The sequence below is a fragment of the Homo sapiens genome, chromosome X (assembly GCF_000001405.40).
Source record: "Homo sapiens chromosome X, GRCh38.p14 Primary Assembly".
Classification (NCBI taxonomy): domain Eukaryota; kingdom Metazoa; phylum Chordata; class Mammalia; order Primates; family Hominidae; genus Homo; species Homo sapiens.
In genome coordinates, this window is record NC_000023.11 from 7,592,065 (window position 1) to 7,616,860 (window position 24,796).

Here is a 24,796-nt window from a genome sequence, read left to right on the forward strand (position 1 = left end):
ATTATGTGTCTTGGAGTTGCTCTTCTCGAGGAGTATCTTTCTCACGTTCTCTGTATTTCCTGAATCTGAATGTTGGCCTGCCTTGCTAGATTGGGGAAGTTCTCCTGGATAATATCCTGCAGAGTGTTTTCCAACTTGGTTCCATTCTCCCCGTCACTTTCAGGTACACCCATCAGACGTAGATTTGGTCTTTTCACATAGTCCCATATTTCTTGGAGGCTTTGTTCGTTTCTTTTTATTCTTTTTTCTCTAAACTTCCCTTCTCGCTTCATTTCATTCATTTCATCTTCCATCGCTGATACCCTTTCTTCCAGTTGATCGCATCGGCTCCTGAGGCTTCTGCATTCTTCACATAGTTCTCGAGCCTTGGCTTTGAGCTCCATCAGCTCCTTTAAGCACTTCTCTGTATTGGTTATTCAAGTTATACATTCGTCTAAATTTTTTTCAAAGTTTTTAACTTCTTTGCCTTTGATTTGAATTTCCTCTTGTAGCTTGGAGTTTGATCGTCTGAAGCCTTCTTCTCTCAACTCGTCAAAGTAATTCTCCATCCAGCTTTGTTCCATTGCTGGTGAGGAACTGCGTTCCTTTGTAGGAGGAGAGGCACTCTGCTTTTTAGAGTTTCCAGTTTTTCTGCTCTGTTTTTTCCCCATCTTTGTGGTTTTATCTACTTTTGGTCTTTGATGATGGTGATGTACAGATGGGTTTTTGGTGTGGATGTCCTTTCTGTTTGTTAGTTTTCCTTCTAACAGACAGGACCCTCAGCTGCAGGTCTGTTGGAGTTTGCTAGAGGTCCACTCCAGACTTGTTTGCCTGGGTATCCGCATTGGTGTTTGCAGAACAGCAGCTTTTCGTGAGCCGCGAATGCTGCTGTCTGATCATTCCTCTGGAAGTTTTGTCTCAGAGGAGTACCCGGCCGTGTGAAGTGTCAGTCTGCCCCTACTGGGGGGTGCCTCCCAGTTAGGCTGCTCAGGGGTCAGGGGTCAGGGGTCAGGGACCCACTTGAGGAGGCAGTCTGCCCGTTCTCAGATCTCCAGCTGCCTGCTGGGAGAACCACTGCTCTCTTCAAAGCTGCCAGACAGGGACATTTAAGTCTGCAGAGGTTGCTGCTGTCTTTTTGTTTGTCTGTGCCCTGCCCCCAGAGGTGGAGCCTACAGAGGCAGGCAGGCCTCCTTGAGCTGTGGTGGGCTCCACCCAGTTCGAGCTTCCCGGCTGCTTTGTTTACCTCAGCAAGCCTGGGCAATGGCGGGCGCCCCTCCCCCAGCCTCGCTGCCGCCTTGCAGTTTGATCTCAGACTGCTGTGCTAGCAATCAGCGAGACTCCGTGGGCGTAGGACCCTCCGAGCCAGTTGCAGGATATAATCTCGTGGTGCGCCGTTTTTTAAGCCTGTCGGAAAAGCGCAGTGTTCGGGTGGGAATGACCCGATTTTCCAGGTGCCGTCCGTCACCCCTTTCTTTGACCTGGAAAGGGAACTCCCTGACCCCTTGCGCTTCCCAAGTGAGGCACTGCCTCGCCCTGCTTCCGCTCGCACGCGGTGCGCTGCACCCACTGGCCTGCGCCCACTGTCTGGCACTCCCTAGTGAGATGAACCCGGTACCTCAGATGGAAAAGCAGAAATCACCCGTCTTCTGCGTCGCTCACGCTGGGAGCTGTAGACCGGAGCTGTTCCTGTTCGGCCATCTTGGCTCCTCAGAGTGGCTGATTTTCAAGAGGACATGAAGATACAACAAATGGTGAGTGTCTTGTGATGGAGCTTCCTGTATTTTGAATTACACTTTCTAGCTGGATTCTACTTACCTAAAACACACACACGCACACACACACACACACACACTTCTTTTTAGCTGTTGGAAAAAAATGACCTCTATACTATTGATTCCTCCATAATTTTCCAGCCCTTAATAATATTGTATTTATGGGACAAAATGACTGTTGCCTCAATCTTGCAAACCACAAGACTATGAACTTTATGTAGCAGAGTTTTTGTGCATGGCTTACTTAAAATCTTTCCTCCTACTTTGGACAATTCTTTGGGAACTATATTATTCTGTTCCTTGTGGTCCCAGTTAGACTGTCAGTCCAGGTAGGGGATTTAGGGTTAGTTATAAGGTTGATATGACAATGGTTATAAAGGGTTTCCCTTTGGTTGATTATAGAACATTTTACTAGGAGGATGTCTATTTATACCTCCACAATTAAGACTATAACATGTTTGGCCAGCAGGGATTTGCAAGTTTTTAACTGGTAAATCACAAGGAGTACTTAATTTCATGCTTTTATTAGAAAGTGCCTACAGAAGGAAAAAGGTAACAATAACCTGGTAGAGCACCATACCCAGTAAAGATATTGGTGCCCTGAAATTGAGTACCATGCAGACATGCAGACATGCATCAGAAGCTACTTCCAGGCAGTACATTTCCAGCTGGGCAGTGTTTATCCACTGTCTTAAGAAAAAATAACTGCAAAAAGTGTTTTTCCTTGTAAGTCCAAAGAGAACCAGTAAATATTTAACAAACATCTATTTATTGAGTAGACAGAGATTAGTCATGATCTATAATTTAGGAATTAACACAAAACACATATTTTGTGTGGTAAGGAATACTGAAGAGAAGAATCCTAGAAGTTCAGCCTTTTTTTTGAGAAATTGTGTGGTGTAGCATTCAAGCACAGTACATACTAATTTTTAATCAGTTGAGTATGATCATTGCTATTTCGAAATGGGATTGTTTCCAAAGACTAAGTGCCCTTTTCCAATTGAAACAGTTCCTAGAAAAGCAAAAAGTCTTGGGCTGGCAGTAACCAGAAGCCATGCTACTTGCTTTAGAGTGCAATCATCCAGAAGGCAAGGTTTAAAAAAGTAACTAAATTTAATCTGCAAGCATCCAGGGATTTAATCAATGACTTCGTTGTGATTCATATGCCTGCTGTTGGAAGAGTAGAATATCTCCTATTTCCTCCGAAAATGTCCATGCTACATCTTACACTAGTGGGTCTATTTCATGCCTGGAGATTTGAAAAGTGAAGTCATTTAAGAGTTTTAGTGTATGGCTCAATTCTGTCTAAATTTAGTGGTGTACCAGGGCTTCTCCATGTCGCTCAGAATCTGTGATGGGCTTCTCTCCATGGGCAATTCCATAAAAACAGCACTTTGGCTGACATGAGATAAATTTACCAGAAACAATATTTTGCAGCAAACCAGAGGAAGCAATGCAGGGGCAATTTCCAAAGGTGCACAGCTGGTGAGGATGTGTGTGCAATGCTGTTGTTATGAAGACTCTAAATCTAGAAAGATGCCTAATTCTAAGTCATTCATTTTTGGTCAATCACTTTTAGCCTCTTTAAATTTTTAGGCATCATTTTAGCTCCCTTAATGGAACTGTCATGCATGGATTTTTCTAGTACTTAGTTGAAGTTATTTATATTTGCAGTCTGCCTCTAGTTTTCAAGGTTATGATTTCTGCCAATGTGGCCATTGCTACTTGCTCTGTTTTGTTAACTTATCCTTTCTCTGTTTGTTCTAAATTTCCCTCTTTCAAGATATAAGGGAAAGACTGTTGTCCTGGCAAACTGAGATTTAGTGAACATGTTTGTGTTCATCACAGCCCTACCTTTTATGAGTTTTATAGACTTCAGTCATATCCCCTGTCAGCTTCAGTGTTTGCAGATGGAATCATACTAAGCCTCTAAGGCTGTCTGCATACAGCAACGGCTCTGGACTTTTAATCATCCTGTTCTTCTTCTTTGAGCCTTTTTCTGCTGTGTTTTTATTTTATTGAAATGCAGAGACCTGGACAGTGGGCAATATCCTTACTGCAATTTTAAATATATATATTTCAAATATATATACACTTACAAATATACATATATTCTTTTATGTATATGTATACATATATACATTATATATCATAATGTATATAGTATATATGTATATACCTAATATATACATATGTTGTGTATGTATATATTGTACATAACATACAGTGTATATATACATATATAAGTGAATATGTGTATAATCGTAAGTATATATAATTTGTTTATATATACATATATAGTATATATACACATTGACTATAGGTATATTTATAAGATATCTGTATATTTATAATATATATTCATTTGTATACATGTATATATGCATATACAAGTGAATATGTATTCACGTATGTATATATGTGTATATATACACACACATATATGAATATATATGGATATATATTCATTTTCCGTAAACTTTGTGGGGACCATTCTCAGAATATTTAATATTTTACCAGCGTTTTACTAATCCCAATATGTGTACATACTTAAAAGGTGAAAGAATGACCTCTTAAATCAAAATTTCCTAATACGAATTTACTGTGAGAGATAAAAGGATTTGAAGCCTTATACAAATGTAGACTATGCCTACATAAGAAATAGATTTGACACTCCACCTGTGTCTTCTTGGAGTCAGCTGGTGTTATATCCAATATATCCTGCAGAAGAGGAGCCCTTGCTAATGTGGATGGCCCTCCCAGGTGGCCAGCATTTTCTGGAATTCTCCTGTTGGGTCAAGATAGTTAGAATTGCCAAGTTAGTTTGAGGATGCCAAACTGCTGTAACGAATAAAATAAAAATGAATAATGTTCTGGCTTAATAGAAGTTGTCTTCTTGCTAACAATCTAAGATGTGGTACCTAGTTATCAGGATTGGATGGAAGGGGTTCTCTGCTCCAAGCAATCTTTTTTTAAAAAAATTGACAACCAATAACAGTATATATTTATGGGGTACAAGGTGATGTTCTGATATATTTATACATTGGAGAAAGAACAAATCAAGCCAATTAACATATCAATCAGCTACTCTTTTAGCAATTTTGAAATACACCATGCATTATTAACTATGTTCTCCATGCTGTGCACTAGATCAGTGAAACTTTCTTCGAACTGAAAGTTTGTACCTTTTGACCAACATCTCACTGTTTCCCCACAACCAGCCCCTGGTAACCACCATTCTACTCTCTGCTTCAGTGAGTTCAATATTTTTAGATTCCACATGTAAGTGAGAACATGCAGTATTTGTCTTTCTGTGCCTGGCTTATTTCACAGAGCATAATGTCCTCCAGGTTCATCCATGTTGTTCGAAATGACAGAATTTCCCTTTTATTTAAAAGTTTATCTAGTGTTCCATTGTGTATATATAAGCCATATTTTCTGCATCTATTCATCCGCTAAGGGATAGATACCCAAAAATTGGATTGCTGGATCATATGGTAATTGTGTTTTTAATTTTTTGAAGACTCTTTATACTGTTTTCCAAAATGCTGTACTAATTCACATTCTTACCAACTATGTATAACGGTTCCCTTTTCTCCACATCATTGCCAACACTTATCTTTCATCTTTTTGATAATAGCCATTCTAATAGGTGTGAGGTGATGTCTCATTGTGGTTTTAATTTGCATTTCCCTGGTGATTAGAGATGTTGAGCATTTTTTCATAAATCTGCTGGCCATTCATATGTCTTCTTTGTAGAAATGTCTGTTCTGGTCCTTTTTTCCAGTTTTTACTTGTGTTGTTTGTTTTACTGCTATTGAATTGAGTTCCTTATACATTTTGGAATTGGCCCCTTATCAGATGTATGGTTTGCCAGTATTTTCTCACAGTCATCTGTGGTTTGTCTCTTCACTCTGATCATTGTTTCCAAGCCATCTTTTCAGGACTCATCTTCAATGCATGGTGTCCAAGGTTTCCCTGTGGGGAAGTGGTAGGGTTTATTTCTATCCCAGGCCACAGAAAGTGAGAGAAACACAGAGGAAATTCATTGGAGAAATTTGTGAGCCAGTCTTGGAAGTGGCACACATCACTTCTGTTCATTAACTATTGTCTAGAATATGTCCAGGAACTGCACCTAACTGAAAGATAGGCTGTGAAGTACTGTTTGGCCAAGTGCCAGTGAAAAAGAGGCAATCGATTTGGTGAAGAAGTAGCCATCTTCCTAATATCTACATTGTACATTTTGGCTTTAGTCTTTTCAGCATGGGTCCCATATTTCAATGCAGACCAAAGCTTCAATTTTGGAAGGTCTAGGGGAAACCAAGGCAATACCGGAACAAGCCAAAGTTTAGTGCCTAAGGAAATACAGTTGGGTGTGGAGGTAAATGCCACATCTTGCTTATGCCAAACATCAGAGAAAGACTCTATTGTTTATTTTTTTGCTTGTTTTGAGACAGAGTCTTGCTCTGTCACCTCAGATGGCGTGCAGTGGTGCGATCGTAGCTCACTGCAGCCTCGACCTCCTGGACTCAAGCTATCCTCTCACCTCAGCGTCCCGAGTAGCTGAGACTACAACCACCGCCAAGACACCCAGCTCATTTAAAAAAAAATTTTTTTAGTGACAGGGTCTCGCTTTATTGCCCAGGCTGGTCTCAAACTCCTGGCCTCAAGCAATTTTCTTGCCTTGGTCTCCCAAAGTGCTGAGGTTACAGGTGTGAGCCTCCACACCTGGGCATGACCAGATTTTTTTAAGTAGATGGAGAGGAAGGTCAGAAAGTTAAATGTGTCACAACTTGAAATACAAAGCTTTGTGAGGACTAATCAAAAAGCTGAGCCAAGAAGAGCAGGCTGAATATTCTCCTGACTGCAGGGAGGAGAGGGAAAGACTTTCATATGGCCAAAGTTATAAACTAAGCCAATACTTGGGAGAATTCATAGAAACCTCTGCTTTAGTTCCAGGTTTATGTATCTTTAAATCTTATGACAAATTAATCTTTCCCTGAATGTTTTAGTAACAGAAACATAAATCCTTGTTGTGAAATCACTATTTGTATATCCTTGTACCTCCTTCCTTTGATTTCAGGTGTCATTTCCATGCAGATACATCCCACTGTACATTGACTTAGTTTCTAGTTTCTAATTTCCAACTCTGGTTGAATAGTTTCACCTTGAGACACCACTAGCTCTTCAATATTTTTCTTCTGAACAAGTACAAATGGCAATAGTTAAAGAAACATGAATATATGACCAGGGAGATGCTAAGTGCTTTGCCTGAATTAATTCAAAATCATAAAAATCCCCATGACCTAGGAAATATTATGATCCATATTTCACAGAGATGAAACTAAGGGTTAGAAGTTAAATAACCTTGTCTAGCTCACATCTTTGGAGCAAAGATAGAGCTGGAATCCCAAAGGTAAGCTGTCTGAAGAAAAGTAGCCTTAATTTATTTCAGTTGTGAAAATCACATATAAGTTATTTGTGCCACACTCATTGGGCAGCTCTTCCTGAATCAATAATCCTTAACCCTCAGGCAGGGCAAGCACGTTTTTGAACAGCTTTATCTATTGCCTGTTTCTTATGTTCATTCTGTATTTCAGCCAACCTGATTATGCCTTCCTCTTTCTATTTTTTTTCAAAGACAAGGTCTCACTCTGTTGCCCAGGATGGAGTGCAGCGATGTGATCAGAGCTCACTATAACCCCAAACTCCTGGACTCAAGCAATCTGCCCCTCAGACTCCCAAGCAGCTGGGATTACAGGTGTGCACTATCGGGCTCAGCTAATTTTTAAATTTTTTGTAGAGATGGGGTTTTGCTGTGTTTCCCAGGCTGGTCTCAAACTCCTGGCCTCAAGTGAACCTCCTGCCTTAGCCTCCCAAAGTGCTGGGATTATAGTCATGAGCCACTGCACTTGGCTTTGTTCTTTGTATTTTTACTTAAAACAATTCACACGAGGCCTGACATGGCAGCTCACACCTGTAATCCCAGCTACTCAGGAGGCTGAGATGGGAGGATCACTTGAGACCAGGAAGTTGGGGCTGCAGTGAGCTGAGATCATGCCTCTGCACTCCAGCCTGGGTGACAGAGCGAGACCTTGTCCCAAAACAACAAAAACTCCAAAAACCAAAAAAAAAAAAAAAAAAAGACCAATTCACATGATTATACATCTCCTTTTTACACAGTTATAGATATCAAAAGCAGCTCATAATTTAAGATTAAGTTAAATACTACATTTTCCACCTGCCTTTCTTAATTATCTCAGCCCAAGTCACATAGCTTCCTCTGAATTTGACAGTTACTGATACCATGTGCTACCTAGTATCAACAATGGAATTTCTCTTTAGCAGACTTTAAACTTTTTATGAAAAACCCACATAATTAATGGGGGGTGTCCCCAGTAGATGCTAAATAAGGATTTTCCACCTTGGTTAAGAAGGGTTTTATTGTTTCTGGTAAGGCATATCTAATTTATCTATTTATCTCCTGAGCCATGATTCATGGTGGAATATTACCGCCACCTGGTTTATTTCTTGCCAAAAAAGAGTACCAATACTGAAGCCTCTAATGAGTGATTCTCAAGTGTTTTCCAACCTCCGTAAGTTAGAGATAGATCAGAATTACCTGTGTGTTATTGTTTTGAGACTGTTGACTCACACACTTGATGCTGAGATGAAGTGGGACATAATCCCTGATTTGAAACTAGCAGTTATATTGACCTGTTGTTATCAGTGAGAACCTGTTAACTTTTTAAAGGAACAAGGCAAGTTGCTTTGGGAAAAATGTTTAAGGAACCACATGTCTAAAGTCTAAAGTACAACTACCAAGTTAGCAGTCTAAGTATATATAATTCCATCAGTGGATGATATTTGATGCTTTGCCATTTTTTTTTCTCAAATCTGTATTTTTGTTTTTTCTTATTTTCTTACTTATGTCCTCTGTTTTACTTGATGGCTCAAATATTATTGGCTTTTTCCCTCCTCTGGTTATTTAGAAATTATATCAAACAAAATATATTTGGATACTTAGCTCTATACTAGCATCAACTGCCCTCTGCCCCTTAGTAATGAGAGATTTAGCACAATCTTCAGTAGCATTTAACTTCACTTTGCATAGATTTGTATTAAAATGAATTGAGTTTTTAGATCAAGACTAGTGTAACCATGTTAGTTACAATGTATTATATATGTTATATATAACATATTTCATTATGTTTTAATGTATAAATGCTACATCGTTTTTTTCTCTTCTAAGATTTAGTTTTGGCTCTTGTCTTATGCTTAGTCACCATGATATCATCCAGTGTTCAGACATTAGCCAAGAGTTTCACTGTTCCGTTGCTCACTGACCTTTTGTTTATACGTATAACTTCTCTTCATGGGGATATTAATTTGATTCATCTATTAGCTTATTGGAGTACTTGAGTATTTTAAAGATCAGCATCCATTTAAAATTCTTGCATGACAGAATATTTTCCTTGTTTGGTTGTAGAATTTGTGAGTTACAATGCTAGGTCCCCAAATCCTCATGTCCTTTTCACAGCTTATACTTTGGAGGAGAATTATGGACCTAACTTGATATTTTCTCAAAGAAAATATCAAAAATATCAAAATATCAAAAATATCTTATTTCTTAAAGATATGGAGGATTGAAGTCTTCATATTTGTGAGGAATGGAGAAGTTCTTCTTCAAAGTTTCTTAAAACCATAAAGAGCTTGGCATTTCTTTGCTCTATGCATGTCTATATATGTTCCAGTGGAGCTCTTCTGACTTGACCTGGCATGCCTGGACAGGCTTAAGCGAGCCCCGAACCATAGTGCATGACATTCCTTATTTGGAAACCCTCCTAACCCTCTCATGACTAGCTTCCTCTTTTCTTTGTTCTCTTTCCCCTTTGCCTCTTTAGAACAGTTTCAAGCTGTTAGCCAATCGTGTCAAGCTTAGAAGGTGAGGTCCTGTTCCAGCCAATGGAAATGGGACACAGCCATAGGACGATTGCATCAGGTTACAAAGATTATAAATGTCCCTGTCTCCTTTGTTTGGGTGTGCTCTCATGGCAAGACTGCTAGCAAGAGGGCACCCTTTCTGCAGAAAATAAGCTAGCCTTGCTGAGAGATCCTTTGTCTCAGTGGTGATTTCGTGACACCAAGCACCCATTTCCAACAATATTTTTTTCATGGCTTTGAATTTAAGCATTTTCTCAAGATATATTTAGGCATGGGTTTAGTTTAATTAATTTAGAGCTCCCACTGACGTGAAGATGAAAGACTCCTTTTTTTTACAGTATGACACTATAGCTTAGCTAACTCTATCACCATGTCTAGTTCCTTTCCTCTTAATTTGCCTCTTTCCAAAGGCTATGAAAATAACTAGATTCATCTACCTTTTCTGCAGCGATGAGTGTCCATGTGCTGTGAGAGTGGCCAATGAAACATATGTATCATTTATTGTTGTCCGTTTTTCTTTTCCCTTTTATTTCTGCTTAGAAATTTAGCACGATATCTATAGGCTCAGCAGACATTCGATGACCATGCAGATAAAACCACTTGTGAGTAAAGACAGAAGAAGTCAATGTCATAGGTACATTTCTTGAATAACCATAAACACACCAATCCCTATAGTTTCCAGAGATGAATCAACCTTGTATTCATCAGGTTTCCCTAGAGAAAGAGAACCAATAGGATGGATAGATGATTGATAGATAGATAGATAGATAGATAGATAGATAGATAGATAGATAGAATAAATGAATGAGTAGAAGGTAAGTAGGTAAGTAGGTAGGTAGGTAGGTAGAGAGATAGATGGATATAGAGATAGATGAATAGATATAGATATATAGATAGATATGATGGATGGATGAAGAAGTATATGTGATAGATGAATAGCTAGGTAGCTGAATAGATAGATCTGATAGCTAGCTGGATAGATAGTTAAATGTGATTGATGAATAGAGAGATAGATATGATAGATGGATAGCTAAGTGGCTGGATAAACAGATCTGATAGCTAGCTGGATGAATAGATAGATAGATAGATAGATAGATAGATAGATAGATAGATAGACAGACAGACAGACAGACAGATAGATAGAATACATGAATAGATAGGTGATAGATAGACAAGTAGAGAGAGATATGGAGAGATGGATAGAGAGATAGAGAAACGGGGATTTATTGGAGGAGTTGGCTCAGACAATTAGGAGGCTGAGAAGTCCCACCACAGGCTATCTACAAGCTGGAGAACCAGGGAAGCTAATAGCATGGCTCAGTCCAAGGGACTTCCCTCAGAACCAGGGAAGCTGATGGTGTAATTATCAGTTCAGCGCTAGAGGCCTGAGATCCCGCAGACAATAAGCAGAGTGAGAGGGGCATTGTTGGTTCAAGTCCTGGAGTCCAAAGGGTGAAGAAGCTGGGGTGATGATGTCCAAGAACAGGAGAAGTGTCTCCCAGCTCCACAAGAGAAAGATTATGCAAATTCATTTGCCTTTCTCTGTTTTTTCTTCTATCCGGGCCTACAGATGATTGAATGGTGCCCACCCATACTGGATGATGGTGGATCCTTACTCAGTCCACTGATTCAAATGCCGGTCTCTTCCAAAAACTCCCTGACAGGCACACCCTGAAATCATGCTTGAAGAGCTATCTGAGTATCTCTCAATCCACTCAAGTTGACATCTAAAACTAACCATCACAAACCCCTTGTCTATTTAAGTTACCCTAGCAGAGCTTTGTGTGACTCATAGCCAAAGGATATGGTAACAGCTAAAGGAAGTCCTGACACATGGTTTTTCATACATCTGTGTTTGGAGTCAAGACCAAATACTCTGTATCTACTACTGTATCTAAGAGGAAAGTCACCGTGGCCTTCAGGTCTGCACATTTACACACAAAGTTCAAAGATCCTAATAGAAAACTATCAATTGTACTTTTAAATAAGGCACCCTAAAGATATTTTGTAACATATCTGATAAACTCTAGGTCATTCACCTCTAGGAGTTGTGTAGTTTCAATGCTACAAAAACTTTTCAGTGACAAAAATGGCTTTGCTTTGCTACAAAAATTTTTCAGTGACAAGAATGGATTTGCTTTGCTACAAAAATTTTTCAGTGACAAGAATGGCTTTGCTTTGTGAAAATATTGATGGGGTTTCTGGTCAATGCATTGGCACTTAATTTCTCCTATGTGTAAAGACATATTTCAGGGTTTGCAAATAGTAGCTTCCATCCCAAGTCATTCAAGAAAGAAAATGCAACTACTGAGGATGCTTTTAATCCTCAGTAACGTGCATTTGAAAAACCACATCTAAATGGTTTGCTATTGGCCTGAGTGACAGATCAATATAGCGAGCAGAATGTCAGCAAAAATGACCAGATAGACATGGGAATTTAGTCAATGTTAGTGTTATATTTTAGAAACATGAATAATTAAAAAAATACAGATGTTGGGGCAACTAAAAAACCATTTGGAAAAATAACACAACTGGTATTCCTTTCTTACAATTTGCACCAAAATAAATTATATGTAATGTAAACATCTACTTAAAAAATGAAAATATAGCCCAGGTGCGGTGGCTTATGCTTGTAATCCCAGCACTTTGGGAGGCCGAGGCGGGCGGATCACGAGGTCAGGAGTTCAAGACCAGCCTGACCAACACAGTGAAACTCCGTCTGTACTAAATATACAAAAAAATTAGCTGGGCGTGGTGGCAGGCACCTGTAATCCCAGCTATTTGGGAGGCTGAGGCATGAGAATCACTTGAACCCAGGAGGTGGAGGTTGCAGTGAGCTGAAATCGTGCCACTGGACTCCAGCCTGGGTGACAAAGCGAGACTCAGTCTGGAGGAAAAAAAAAAAGAAATCATTTGATAGCTTTTTGAGGGGGTAAGAGGGGCTTGGAAACAGCTTTTCTTATCACTGTTAAGCCCAGAAGTCAAAAAGAAAATGTATTATAAGTTGATGTCTTCCAAATAGTGAAGTCTGTCTCTCTCTCTCTCTCTCTCACACACACACACACACACACACACACACACACACACACTCACCATTGCATAAGCAATCTAAAAGTGAAATGAAAATTTGGAGGGAAAAATAGTACTTAGAACAGTATGTCTAGTTAAGTTGCTTTTCTTTCTAAAATAAGGTCTCTTAGAAATAAAAAAGAAAAAGATCACAACTCAAGTCAAATATGGACAAGAGTATGAACAAGAAGTTTAAAGAAAATAAAGTACCAATGGCGAATGACAAAGATTCTCTGTCTGGCCAAACTGTAGTCAGGCTTCTGAATCTTCTCCTAGGCCCACCTGTGTACCTCCCTGTAAAATCCAGTTTTAGCAGAGAACCCTGCTAAGTCAGTTTGGCAGGAACTCCCCACACTCGATATCCTATCACCCTCAATACCTGAGTGAGTTCCTCATCCTCCACCCTCCCCAGGTGATATCTGGTGACTCTGGCCTGTCTTCAGCTAGAATCCTGTTAGATGGGTTTATCCAGAACCTCCTTTACCCCTGATGTTTCCTTCTAGTCATTTTCCATCCAATGTCCAAATTTCTACTGACCCTCCCTCTGCTCCTTGGCTATAAATTCCCACTTGCCCATGCTATATTCAGAGTTGAGCCCAATCTCTCTCCCTCACTGCAAGACCCCATACTGTCTTTCTCCTCCTTCTTCTCTCTTCTCCCTCCATCCTTTCTCCCAGACCTCCACCCCATCTCTTCTTCCTCTTCCTCCTCCTTTCCCCCACGCAATGCAAATTTCCAGGAAGAATCGGAAACCGCTGGTTTCCATGGCTATGGGCCCTACACCTAACTCAAAGGTCCTGATTAAAGTCTTCCTTACCATGCTTTAACAAGTATCATTGAATATTATTTTCTTTAACACAAATATGCATAGAAAATATTCAATTCTACGGAACACTGAAGAAATTTTTAAAAGCTAAGATGCTTTTTACACCTATTAGATTAGCAGGGATCAAAAGTGGGGTAATCTCAGTGTTGATGAAAAGCACAGGTGAAGATTAGGCAGGGCCACGATGCCCCTGCTCACTGAACCCTACTTGAAAACAACCTCTCTGGTCATTCTCCAGGCTGTGCTGTGGCTTGGGCAAAAACTGACCTTGACAGAGACCCTGAGATCCATCAAAAAGCCAAACATGAGTCTCTGCCTTTGTTCATTCCCAATGAAATTATTTGTGGTATAACACAATGCATGCTTACATGGTCATTATTAGAACTGAGCAATGCAAACTGTGATTTGCTTTTCATGTTGTTAAAAATAATAACTGCCAGCAAGGTGTTAAATTTAGTACAAGACACAGCAGCTGTTCAACTCATTTTTGCAAATTATTTTCATATATGGCTTACAAAGTACCACCACTCTGAGGTAAACACAGTCCTGTAGATTGTAAGCATTTAAGCTGCGTGACAGATGGCTGCTTCTCATTTCTTGATGTGTTTTGTAATGGAAATTTAATGGGGAAAATGCTAATAATAATGCTGTTAATTTACTGCCTTTTCCCTAGGAGCTTCAAACACTTGACAAACATTACATAATTAATGGTTAAATATTATACAAACATTCACGGGAAGTGGGAAAGAAGAAAGGAGTTGAAGCGTCATTCTGTGGTTGCAAACAACGTGGTGTTGTGTTCACATGCAGGTGCTCTCCCAACACAAAGACAACTTAACTCATGAACCGCTGCTTTATGAGCAGCGGTTTCCAATTCTTCCTGGATATTCGCATTGCATGGGAGAAAGGAGGAGGAAGAGACAGGGTGGAGGATGGGGAGAAAGGATGGAGGGAGAAGAGAGAATAAGGAGAAAGACAAGAGGCAATAGCATTCTAATCTCCTCTGACAAACACCCTTCACACCCTAATTTAATTCCCATGAGTTGGAGGAAGTGATCCTCTTTTTAACCACAGCTAGGTACGTCTAATAGATGAGACTTCTCCATCCTTATGCTCAGATACTCCACCCTAATTGTGATGGTTAATAGTTAATACTGAGTATCAACTTGATTGGATGGAAGGATACAAACTATTGATCCTGGGTGTGTCTGTGAGGGTGTTGCCAAAAGAGATTAACATTTGAGTCAGTGGGCTGGGGAAGGCAGATCCACCCTCAATCTGGTGGGCACAATCTAATCAGCTGCCAGCAAATACAAAGCAAGCAGAAAAATGTGAAAGGAGAGACTGGCCTAGCCTCCCAGCCTGCATCTTTCTCCCATGCTGGATGCTTCTGCCCTCGAACACTGGACTCCAAGTTCTTTAGTTTTGGGACTCGGGCTGGCTTTCCTTGCTCCTCAGCTTACAGACAGCCTATTATGGGACCTTGTGATTGTGTAAGTTAATACTTAATAAACTCATATATATATACATGAGTTTATATATTATATATTTTATATATATATTAACTAATATATCCTATTAGTTCTGTCCCTCTAGAGAACCTTGACTAATACACTACTTTGTAAAGTCAATGACAGAACTCAAACACACTTGTTGCATCCTCCATTAAAGACCCCCGTTAGCATTCATATCCCTTCTTAAGAGAGATTTGGCCAGGCACTGGGGCTCACGCCTGTAATCCTGGCACTTTGGGAGGCCGAGGCAGGCAGATCACCTGAGGTCAGAAGTTGGAGACCAGCCTGGCCAACATGGTGAAACCCCGTTTCTACTAAAAACACAAAAATTAGCCAGGCACAGTGGCGCATGCCTGTAATCCCAGCTGCTCTGGAGACTGAGGTAGGAGAATCACTTGAACCTGGGAGGCAGAGGTTGCAGTGCGCCGAGAGTGTGCCACTCCACTCCAGTGTCGGCAACAGAGGGAGACCCTGTCTCAAAAAAGAAAAACATAAATAAAGAGAGAGTAGTTTTGGGTACAAGATTTCCAAACCTCAAAATCAAGAGTTATGGCAACCTTCAAGTCTTGCTTGTCTCACCAATGTGGTGAGTTTTAGCGCTGCATGAAGCTAAAGTATTGCCTTTGAATGGAGGATGTGGACCACATTCCATCCTTGGCCGAAGGCAGAACGCACCCAGGATTGCACAGAATCATAAAAAACCTGAGCTGTAGGAATAAAATGTGGTTCCCTACAGTGGATGCCTTTCATTCAAAATTCCAAAGCAAGCCTTCAGAAGGATTTTTTTTTTTTTTCGAAGCTGATGTTTTAATTTTAATTTTTTTTTTATTTTTTTTTTTAATTTTTTTTTTAATTGATCATTCTTGGGTGTTTCTCGCAGAGGGGGATTTGGCAGGGTCACAGGACAATAGTGGAGGGAAGGTCAGCAGATAAACAAGTGAACAAAGGTCTCTGGTTTTCCTAGGCAGAGGACCCTGCGGCCTTCCGCAGTGTTTGTGTCCCTGGGTACTTGAGATTAGGGAGTGGTGATGACTCTTAAGGAGCATGCTGCCTTCAAGCATCTGTTTAACAAAGCACATCTTGCACCGCCCTTAATCCATTCAACCCTGAGTGGATACAGCACATGTTTCAGATAGCACAGGGTTGGGGGTAAGGTCACAGATCAACAGGATCCCAAGGCAGAAGAATTTTTCTTAGTACAGAACAAAATGAAAAGTCTCCCATGTCTACTTCTTTCTACACAGACACGGCAACCATCCGATTTCTCAATCTTTTCCCCACCTTTCCCCCCTTTCTATTCCACAAAACCGCCATTGTCATCATGGCCAGTTCTCAATGAGCTGTTGGGTACACCTCCCAGATGGGGTGGCGGCCGGACAGAGGGGCTCCTCACTTCCCAGTAGGGGCGGCCGGGCAGAGGCGCCCCTCACCTCCCGGACGGGGCGGCTGGCCGGGCGGGGGGCTGACCCCCCCACCTCCCTCCCGGACAGAGCGGCTGGCCGGGCGGGGGGCTGACCCCCCCACCTCCCTCCTGGACGGGGCGGCTGGCCGGGCAGAGGGACTCCTCACTTCCCAGTAGGGGCGGCCGGGCAGAGGCGCCCCTCACCTCCCGGACGGGGCAGCTAGCCGGGCGGGGGGCTGACCCTCCCACCTCCCTCCTGGATGGGGCGGCTGGCTGGGCAGAGGGGCTCCTCACTTCCCAGTAGGGGTGGCCGGGCAGAGGCGCCCCTCATCTCCCGGACGGGGCGGCTGGCCGGGCAGGGGGCGGACCCCCCCACCTCCCTCCCGGACAGGGCGGCCGGCCGGGCAGAGGGGCTCCTCACTTCCCAGTAGGGGCGGCCGGGCAGAGGCGCCCCTCACCTCTCGGACGGGGCGGCTGGCCAGGTGGGGGGCTGACCCCCCCACCTCCCTCCTGGACGGGGCGGCTGGCTGGGCGGGGGGCTGACCCCCCCACCTCCCTCCCGGACGGGGCGGCTGGCCGGGCGGGGAGCTGACCCCCCCACCTCCCTCCTGGACTGAGCGGCTGGCCGGGCAGAGGGGCTCCTCACTTCCCAGTAGGGGCGGCCGGGCAGAGGCGCCCCTCACCTCTTGGACGGGGCGGCTGGCCGGGCAGGGGGCTGACCCCCCCACCTCCCTCCTGGACTGAGCGTCTGGCCGGGCAGAGGGGCTCCTCACTTCCCAGTAGGGGCGGCCGGGCAGAGGCGCCCCTCACCTCTCGGACGAGGCGGCTGGCTGGGCAGGGGGCTGACCCCCCCACCTCCCTCCTGGACTGAGCGGCTGGCCGGGCAGAGGGGCTCCTCACTTCCCAGTAGGGGCGGCCGGGCAGAGGCGCCCCTCACCTCCCGGACGGGGCGGCTGGCCGGGCGGGGGGCTGACCCCCCCACCTCCCTGCCGGACGAGGTGGCTGCCGGGCAGAGACGCTCCTCACTTCCCAGACGGGGTGGCTGCCGGGCGGAGGGGCTCCTCACTTCTCAGACGGGGCGGTTGCCGGGCGGAGGGTCTCCTCACTTCTCAGACGGGGCGGCTGGGCAGAGACGCTCCTCACATCTCAGACTATGGGCGGCTGGGCAGAGACGCTCCTCACTTCCCAGATGGGATGGCGGCCGGGAAGAGGCGCTCCTCACTTCCTAGATGGGATGGCGGCCGGGCAGAGACGCTCCTCACTTTCCAGACTGGGCAGCCAGGCAGAGGGGCTCCTCACATCCCAGACGATGGGCGGCCGGGCAGAGACGCTCCTCACTTCCCAGACGGGGTGGCGGCCGGGCAGAGGCTGCAATCTCGGCACTTTGGGAGGCCAAGGCAGGCTGCTGGGAGGTGAAGGTTGTAGCGAGCCGAGATCACGCCACTGCACTCCAGCCTGGGCACCATTGAGCACGGAGTGAACCAGACTCCGTCTGCAATCCCGGCATCTCAGGATGCCGAGGCTGGCGGATCACTCGCGGTTAGGAGCTGGAGACCAGCCCAGCCAACACAGCGAAACCCCGTCTCCACCAAAAAAATACGAAAACCAGTCAGGCGTGGCGGCACGCGCCTGCAATCGCAGGCAGTCGGCAGGCTGAGGCAGGAGAATCAGGCAGCAGTACCGTCCAGCTTCAGCTCGGCATCAGAGGGAGACCGTGGAGAGAGGGAGAGGGAGACCGTGGAGAGAGGGAGAGGGAGAGGGAGAGCCAGAAGGATTTTATGAATGTCCTTTTGTGTGAGGATTAATAGATAAATAAGAAGTTTATTAACTGGAAAAATGCTTTTTGTTTGGTAAACCGTAAGTGACTCTCATGAGTGAGAACGCAACGCAGCTATAGTAACCCAAAATTTCTCTAATAAATCAATATATAATTGTTGCTGCTGTGACTGCACAAAATTAATGAATAGAGCAGCTTGGAGCAGCTTTATTTGTAGGTCCTTCTGTTTGAAGCACAATCAGTCTACTTATTCAATGATCAGGCCTGGGAAACTTAGCCTGAAAACCAAAACATCCATAGCTGAGCAGTTTCTAAACAAAAATCCTAAAGAGAGATGAATTCCTATCTCACAGCGAAAGGTAGCTCTGAAATGAAGCTCCTTGATGACATCTCATACTTGTAACAGAGATTTCAAAAATCTGTTCATTTCATCTAGGGAACATTTTTCTGCAAAGGCTGGTTTGAGTGGTTATGTGATCCAGTATATCATTCTGCACTACACACAATGATGGGCAATGTTAAAAACAGATGAAAATGGCTGTCTTCCAAGTCCAGCTATGAACCTCCCCACGGGATGTTGCTGGACAGTACTTCGGTAGCACAGTTATTCTACAAAAAAAAAAAAAAAAAAAAGTCCTTTCCTCAAAGAAGGGTTGAAATGATGCTCCGGTTTGATGACTTGGGAGTCTGTAGAATTCTTTTTTTGTTTGTTTGTTTGTTCGTTTGTTTTGTTTTGTTTTGTTTTGTTTTGAGACAGAGTCTCGCTCTGTTGTCCAGGCTGGAGTGCAGTGGCATGATCTTAGCTCACTGCAACCTCTCCCTCCCGGGTTCAAATGATTCTCCTGCCTCAGCCTCCCAAGTAGCTGGGACTAAAGGCATGCGCCACAAGGCCCAGCTAATTTTTATATTTTTAGTAGAGATGAAGTTTCACCATGTTGGACTGGCTGGTCTCGAACTCCTGACCACAGATGATCCACCTGCCTTGGCCTCCCAAAGTGGGATTACAGGTGCGAGCCACCATGCCCAGCCTGGGAGTCTGTAGAATTCTAATAAATGATATCAAGTGATACTAAGAAAATATATAATCCAAATCATCACTAAGTAAAAGTCCTAAGGCCGGTTATTTTTTTAGCAGCACATGAGGTTCTTCACGGCTTCAGTAGAAACCAGATTTCTTCAACCTTGTCACTCTCGGCATTTGGGGCTGAATAGCTTTGTTGGGGGGAACTACCTTGTGCATTGTAGGATATTTGGAAGAGTCCCTGGTCCCTGCCTAATGCTGGTAGCCCTTTTTTCCCGCAGTTGTGAAAAGAAAAAAATGTCTCCACACATTGCTGACTGTATCACATAAAGTGTGTGTGTACCCACATATAAAATCCCCCCATTTGAGAAGGACTGATATAAATAACACAATTTATATAATTCTTTAAATAGAAACTTACTTGCTGCACTACTCAATATTGATGTTCTTGAAATTAAATACAATCTTATGAGTTCCTCTTATACATATGCTTCCATTCTCATTGTCTTTTTCTGAATTGTCATGAAAAACACTCCAGCATTTTTTAAACACTTTGACAAACATGTGTGCCTCGCTTTCTCCCTACATGTCCCGATTTCTTTATCTGGATTTTTTGTGTCCTCTATTAAGACCAGAATGCTGTTCATCCTCTCAGCTTGTCTTACGTGATCCTTGAGCAATGAAAATGTTATTTTTAGAAAAGGACTTTAGTAGAATTTTGAAAAAATATATATAGTAATTAAAGTGTGTTTGGCCTCATTGGTGTGGCCAATCTTCAACTAAATGTTGAAGATATACGTTAGGTACAGACAACTTAGTACTACATTTATTCAAGGTTTTTGCGTGGCTTTAGTTAAAATGTAATTAGAGTTCAAGCAATGAAGGCATTGCAAACGTATTTACTGAAATTTCTTTTTCTTTTTTCTTCTTCTTTTTTCTTTTTTTTTTTTTTTGAGACAAGTTCTCACTCTGTTGCCCAGGTTAAGTGCGGTAGCACGATCATAGCTTACTGAGCCTTGATCTCCCAGGCTCAAGTGATGCTTCCACTTCAGCCTCCTGGGTAGCTGGGACTACAGGTGCACACCACCATGCCTGGCTGATTTTTAAAATTTTTGCAGAAATGAGACCTCACAATGTTTCCCATGCTGGTCTTAAACTCCTGTCCTCAAGCAATTCTCCCCCTTTGGCCTCCCAAAATGCTGGGACTACAGACATGAGCCACTGTGCCTGGCTATTTATTGAACTTTGTCCCACAGCTGAGCACTCTATGGTTGCAAAATACAAGTTTCACCAACCTTCTGGCAGCTTTAAGATGCCCATCGATAAGATGGAATTATGACACACTCAGAGTGCATATGGGGATAAGGAACCACTACCTGAGCAGACCAAATCAATCAACATGAGAGCTCTTGGAACTAGAGATGGCTGGGATCACATTCTGGCCCTGCCATTTATTATCTGTGTGACCTTGGATCTAAATAGCTCCCCTCTCTACGTGTTACTTTCTGCACCTGAAAAGTGGGATGATGAGATGCGTTCTCCATGGTTTTATGAGGAATAATAAAATACCTCTGCAAAGTGGCTGTGTTTGGCACACAGCAGGGGCTGGATACATACTGCTTCTCCTACATACCAAGACTCAGGCTCGCCGACTTGTTCAGGGAGAGAGGGCATAGAGAACAGAACTTGCACCCTGTACTTCGCTGAAACCTCAGGCATGGACAGCTCAGATAGGAGTGGGGCTCAGAGGCAATTCATCCTGTATTCTGAAGGGCAGCTAAACTTCAGCTGAAAAGCTGGGGTCCGGAAGCCATGCAAAAGACCTGCAGTCTCCTGGTGAGGGAGATGATAAACATGAAACCATGTGGAAATGTGGATTAACCACCCTGAAAGACAAGGTCCCTCATTGTTCCCGAGACAAGGACCATTTCTTTCTTTTTTAAAACAGCTGTATTGAGGTGTAATTTATATACCATAGAACTCGCATGTTTAATGGCTTTTAATAATTTATAGAGTTGTGCACCCACCACCACAATTCAATTGGCGTTGCCCTAAAAAATCACTTGTGCCTAAGTGTAATCAATTCCTTCTTCCACCTCCAGCCCCTGGCAACCACTAATCTACTTTCTGTGTCTACAAATTTGCTATTCTGGACTTTTAATGTAAAAGGATTTATGCAATTTGCAGTTGTTTTTTGTCTGGCTTTTTCACATAGTGCAATGTGTTTGAGGGACATCCATGTTATAGGGTGGGTGCGTCTGCATTTCAGTATTTTCTTTCTTTTTAATGATGTGCTGATATTGGACCAGTTACTCTAAAATTTTAGATTTGGCATCTATATGAGTGGAGTTTTAATAAGACCAATGTCAGGTTATTTAGATGTTGGACGAAGGAAACAAATTTCAATGAGACAGAAGGAGTAAGTTCAAGAGATCTATTGTACAACATGGTGACTATAGTTAAAAACAACATATTGTATCTTTGAAAATTGCTAAAAGAGTAAATTTTAAGTTTTCTTACCACAAAACCAATGATAAGTACATGAGGTTACATATGTTAATTAGCTTGATTTAACCATTTCACAATATATACATATACCAAAACATCATATTGTACACTGTACACTTACACAGGTTTTTGTCAATTAAATTTTTTTCTAAATTAAACATTTTAAAAACATGCAAAAAGCTATAGCATGGCCTCTGGCAGGGATCAAGAGCTTCCTACACGTTAGTTTTGATGTTAGGATCATCCCAGTTGTAATTAGTTATCCATTTTAGTAGTATTACCACCACAGATCTTATCCATTTAGCAGAAGCAATAAGGGACCATCTCTGGGTAGTCATTGTTCCTAGGGACTCCTATGTAATCTGCTGGGCGATTCAAAAATTCACTGCAAAATTCAGTTTTTAGAACTAGGAGGTATCCAATAAAAGTTGTTGAATATAGGAAGAAAAAATAAATTTTAAATAACAAAAAACACATACAAAAAGGGTCACCCTTTGTGGTGAATTCCCCGCACGTGGCTCAGGGTCTAATGCACAGTGGTATCCAGTAAATATTTGTTGAATGAATTAATGAAGAGTTTGGATTTTAAAATATTGCACACCTATAAGCCGGAGTTTAATAACCAAAAGGCATATGATCCTTATACTTTCAATGTTATCACTCAACCATCTATGTTTCCATTGGACTGTTGTCTGATTTATGGGACTGGGATTTGACGTAAATTCAGGAATTGTTGGAAGTAGCTGTTCAGTAGTGAGAAGCAGAAGAAAACACTGACACATGGAACCAGGTGTCTTTGTTTTGGCAAGGACAGCAACTGTATTCTGATACTAAGGTGGGGGATGGGAGTTCCGGGCAAAGACATTAATAGCACTCATATTGTTCTTTTCGACACAGATTTGAGAGAGCTCTTCAAATGGCAAACACCTAGCATGTGGGGATCTGAAGCACCTCTTTGTGGGTTTCACTCTCAACACTCTTGGAAAATCACCGAGTGTCATGAGAGGTGTTATTGATGCAGGCCTGTCATGCAGGGGACTGACAGAGAGGCCTCCTCAGAAAGACTGAGATGGCCCACAGCAGAGGGCAGAAAAAAAAAAACCCTTTCCTGATTATTGCAATCCTGGCAATGTCAGCACCTGGTTACCAACTGCAGCGATGAAAAGTAATACAAACATTTAGGTATTGATATATAGAAGACATAAGAGTGAGGGGAAAATGTTTTCCTATAAACATTTCTCAAATAATTTTGTGTTGTTTCAGTAAAGGTCACTGTGATTTTGTAGGCCCTCAGGTGTGGGTTTAATTGTGTTTACTTATGATGTATGATTACAGAAAGGTATTATTCCTGAAAAACCATCATAATATAATTAAAAAGTTGGCAAAAGTGACGTCTCATTGCTCTCTTTGTTTATTTTTTTAATAAAAAAGAAAACTCCCATTGCGCTCTGCTTGGAGTACAATGACCATAAACCAAGAGACAGAATTCACATTCTTGGAAAATCACACACTGTGGTTTCCTTGAAAAGGGAGATGACTTTTGCTCTGGAAAAGACACATATATAGAGATCCCAATTAAAATGTATCTATTCTTCCAAATATTCTTTCTCATTTAATCCTTGGATACCTGGAACTGATAATTAAGAGGTAACATCGGCAACTATGTACTAGGTGCAAAGGCAATAATGGAATCCTCATTTTTGGGTGGGTCTTTGCACAGACCCTTACACGCACACACACACACATGCATATATATTTATTTTTATATTTAGATTCCATTCATGTTAAATACCTATAGATTTTATATTCTGAGCTGTTTTCTCAGACGTTCTTTCACACTCTGCAAAGCCTATGCTTTTTTGCTTAGCTTGAAACCACCTCCATGAGTCTCTTCTTATCCCCCAAATAGGAGTCCTGCATTACAATCTTCTTTGAGCAAATTCACAACCTAGATTTTGGTTGGAGTTGAACATGCAATAAGTTATCAAGAGTTAAATCTAGGAAGTGGATTTGGGATAGTTTTACTCTTTTCATTATAACTTTCCCTATTTTTCATATCGTATATAATAAAAAATCATTTTTAAATAAGAAAAAATAAATGACTATAATTTATATATGTATATGTGTTTGTCGTAAGCTCAGGAGCTCAAAGCATTCTCAAATTTTCTTGTGTCATCTAATCCTAAATAAGTCATAGTTAGAATCTCCTCAAAGCCACCCAGGGCTGGCTGGGCACAGTGGCTCATGCCTGTAATCCCAGCACTTTGGGAGGCAGAGGCAGGCAGACTGCTTGAGTCCAGGAGTTCAAGACCAGCCTGGCCAACATGGTGAAACCCTGTATCTACAAAAAAATACAAAAATTAGCCAGGCATGGTGGTGCGCACCTGTATTCCCAGTTACTCAAGAGGCTGAGGTGGGAGAATCTTGAACCCGGGAGGCAGAGGTTGCAGCAAGCCAAGGTCCCAGCCACTGCACTCCAGCCTGGACAACAGAGCAAGCCTCTGTCTAAAAACAAACAAACAAAAAAGGACCCGGGGCTTGTGAAAATGAAGTGTGTTAATATTCAAGCTGAGTGAGCAGCCCGTCTAACAGGCTGTTTAAATTTTGCCATGCAATTGTTGAAGGCTTAAAGAAAATCTTCATTTCCTGGGTGAACTGAAACCTGGCTAAATGCTTTTGTGAGGCACTTCTTGTTGAGCAATCATTATGTCTATTAAATGCTTGATTCCATCACATCTGGGGAGTTCACTCCCCAGAAAAGAATTGGGATGGTGGTTTCATAAATGTAAAACAAACTTCAGGCTAAGCCCCCTCCGTAAATGTGAGCCAAGAATCCATCAGCTCACCTGTGAGAGCTCTGTCAGGCAGTGTCACTTCAATGCCCCTAAATATTAAGGCATTCAGTCCTTGAATCTCTTAGCTATGCTCACTTTTCTAGGTGATCTTATTCAGTTCCATGATTCTAACCAGTACCTGAGTGCTGA

At 42.3% G+C, this 24,796-nt stretch overlaps 1 long non-coding RNA gene across 1 annotated transcript, besides 1 other annotated feature; it reads left to right on the forward strand.

The window, feature by feature from the left end:
* Positions 813-1,415: an enhancer, noted in NCBI's record as "NANOG-H3K27ac-H3K4me1 hESC enhancer chrX:7510918-7511520 (GRCh37/hg19 assembly coordinates)". NCBI's record gives its function as "activates a minimal SCP1, AML or CMV promoter by ChIP-STARR-seq in primed H9 embryonic stem cells {active_cell/tissue: H9 hESC(primed)}" and the evidence as "EXISTENCE:reporter gene assay evidence [ECO:0000049][PMID:30033119]".
* Positions 1,619-23,199, forward strand: LOC124905241 (uncharacterized). The gene is made up of 2 exons (XR_007068386.1): positions 1,619-1,730; positions 22,710-23,199. It is a non-coding gene; the product is annotated as an uncharacterized LOC124905241 (long non-coding RNA).
* Positions 23,200-24,796: the final 1,597 nt, after the last annotated feature.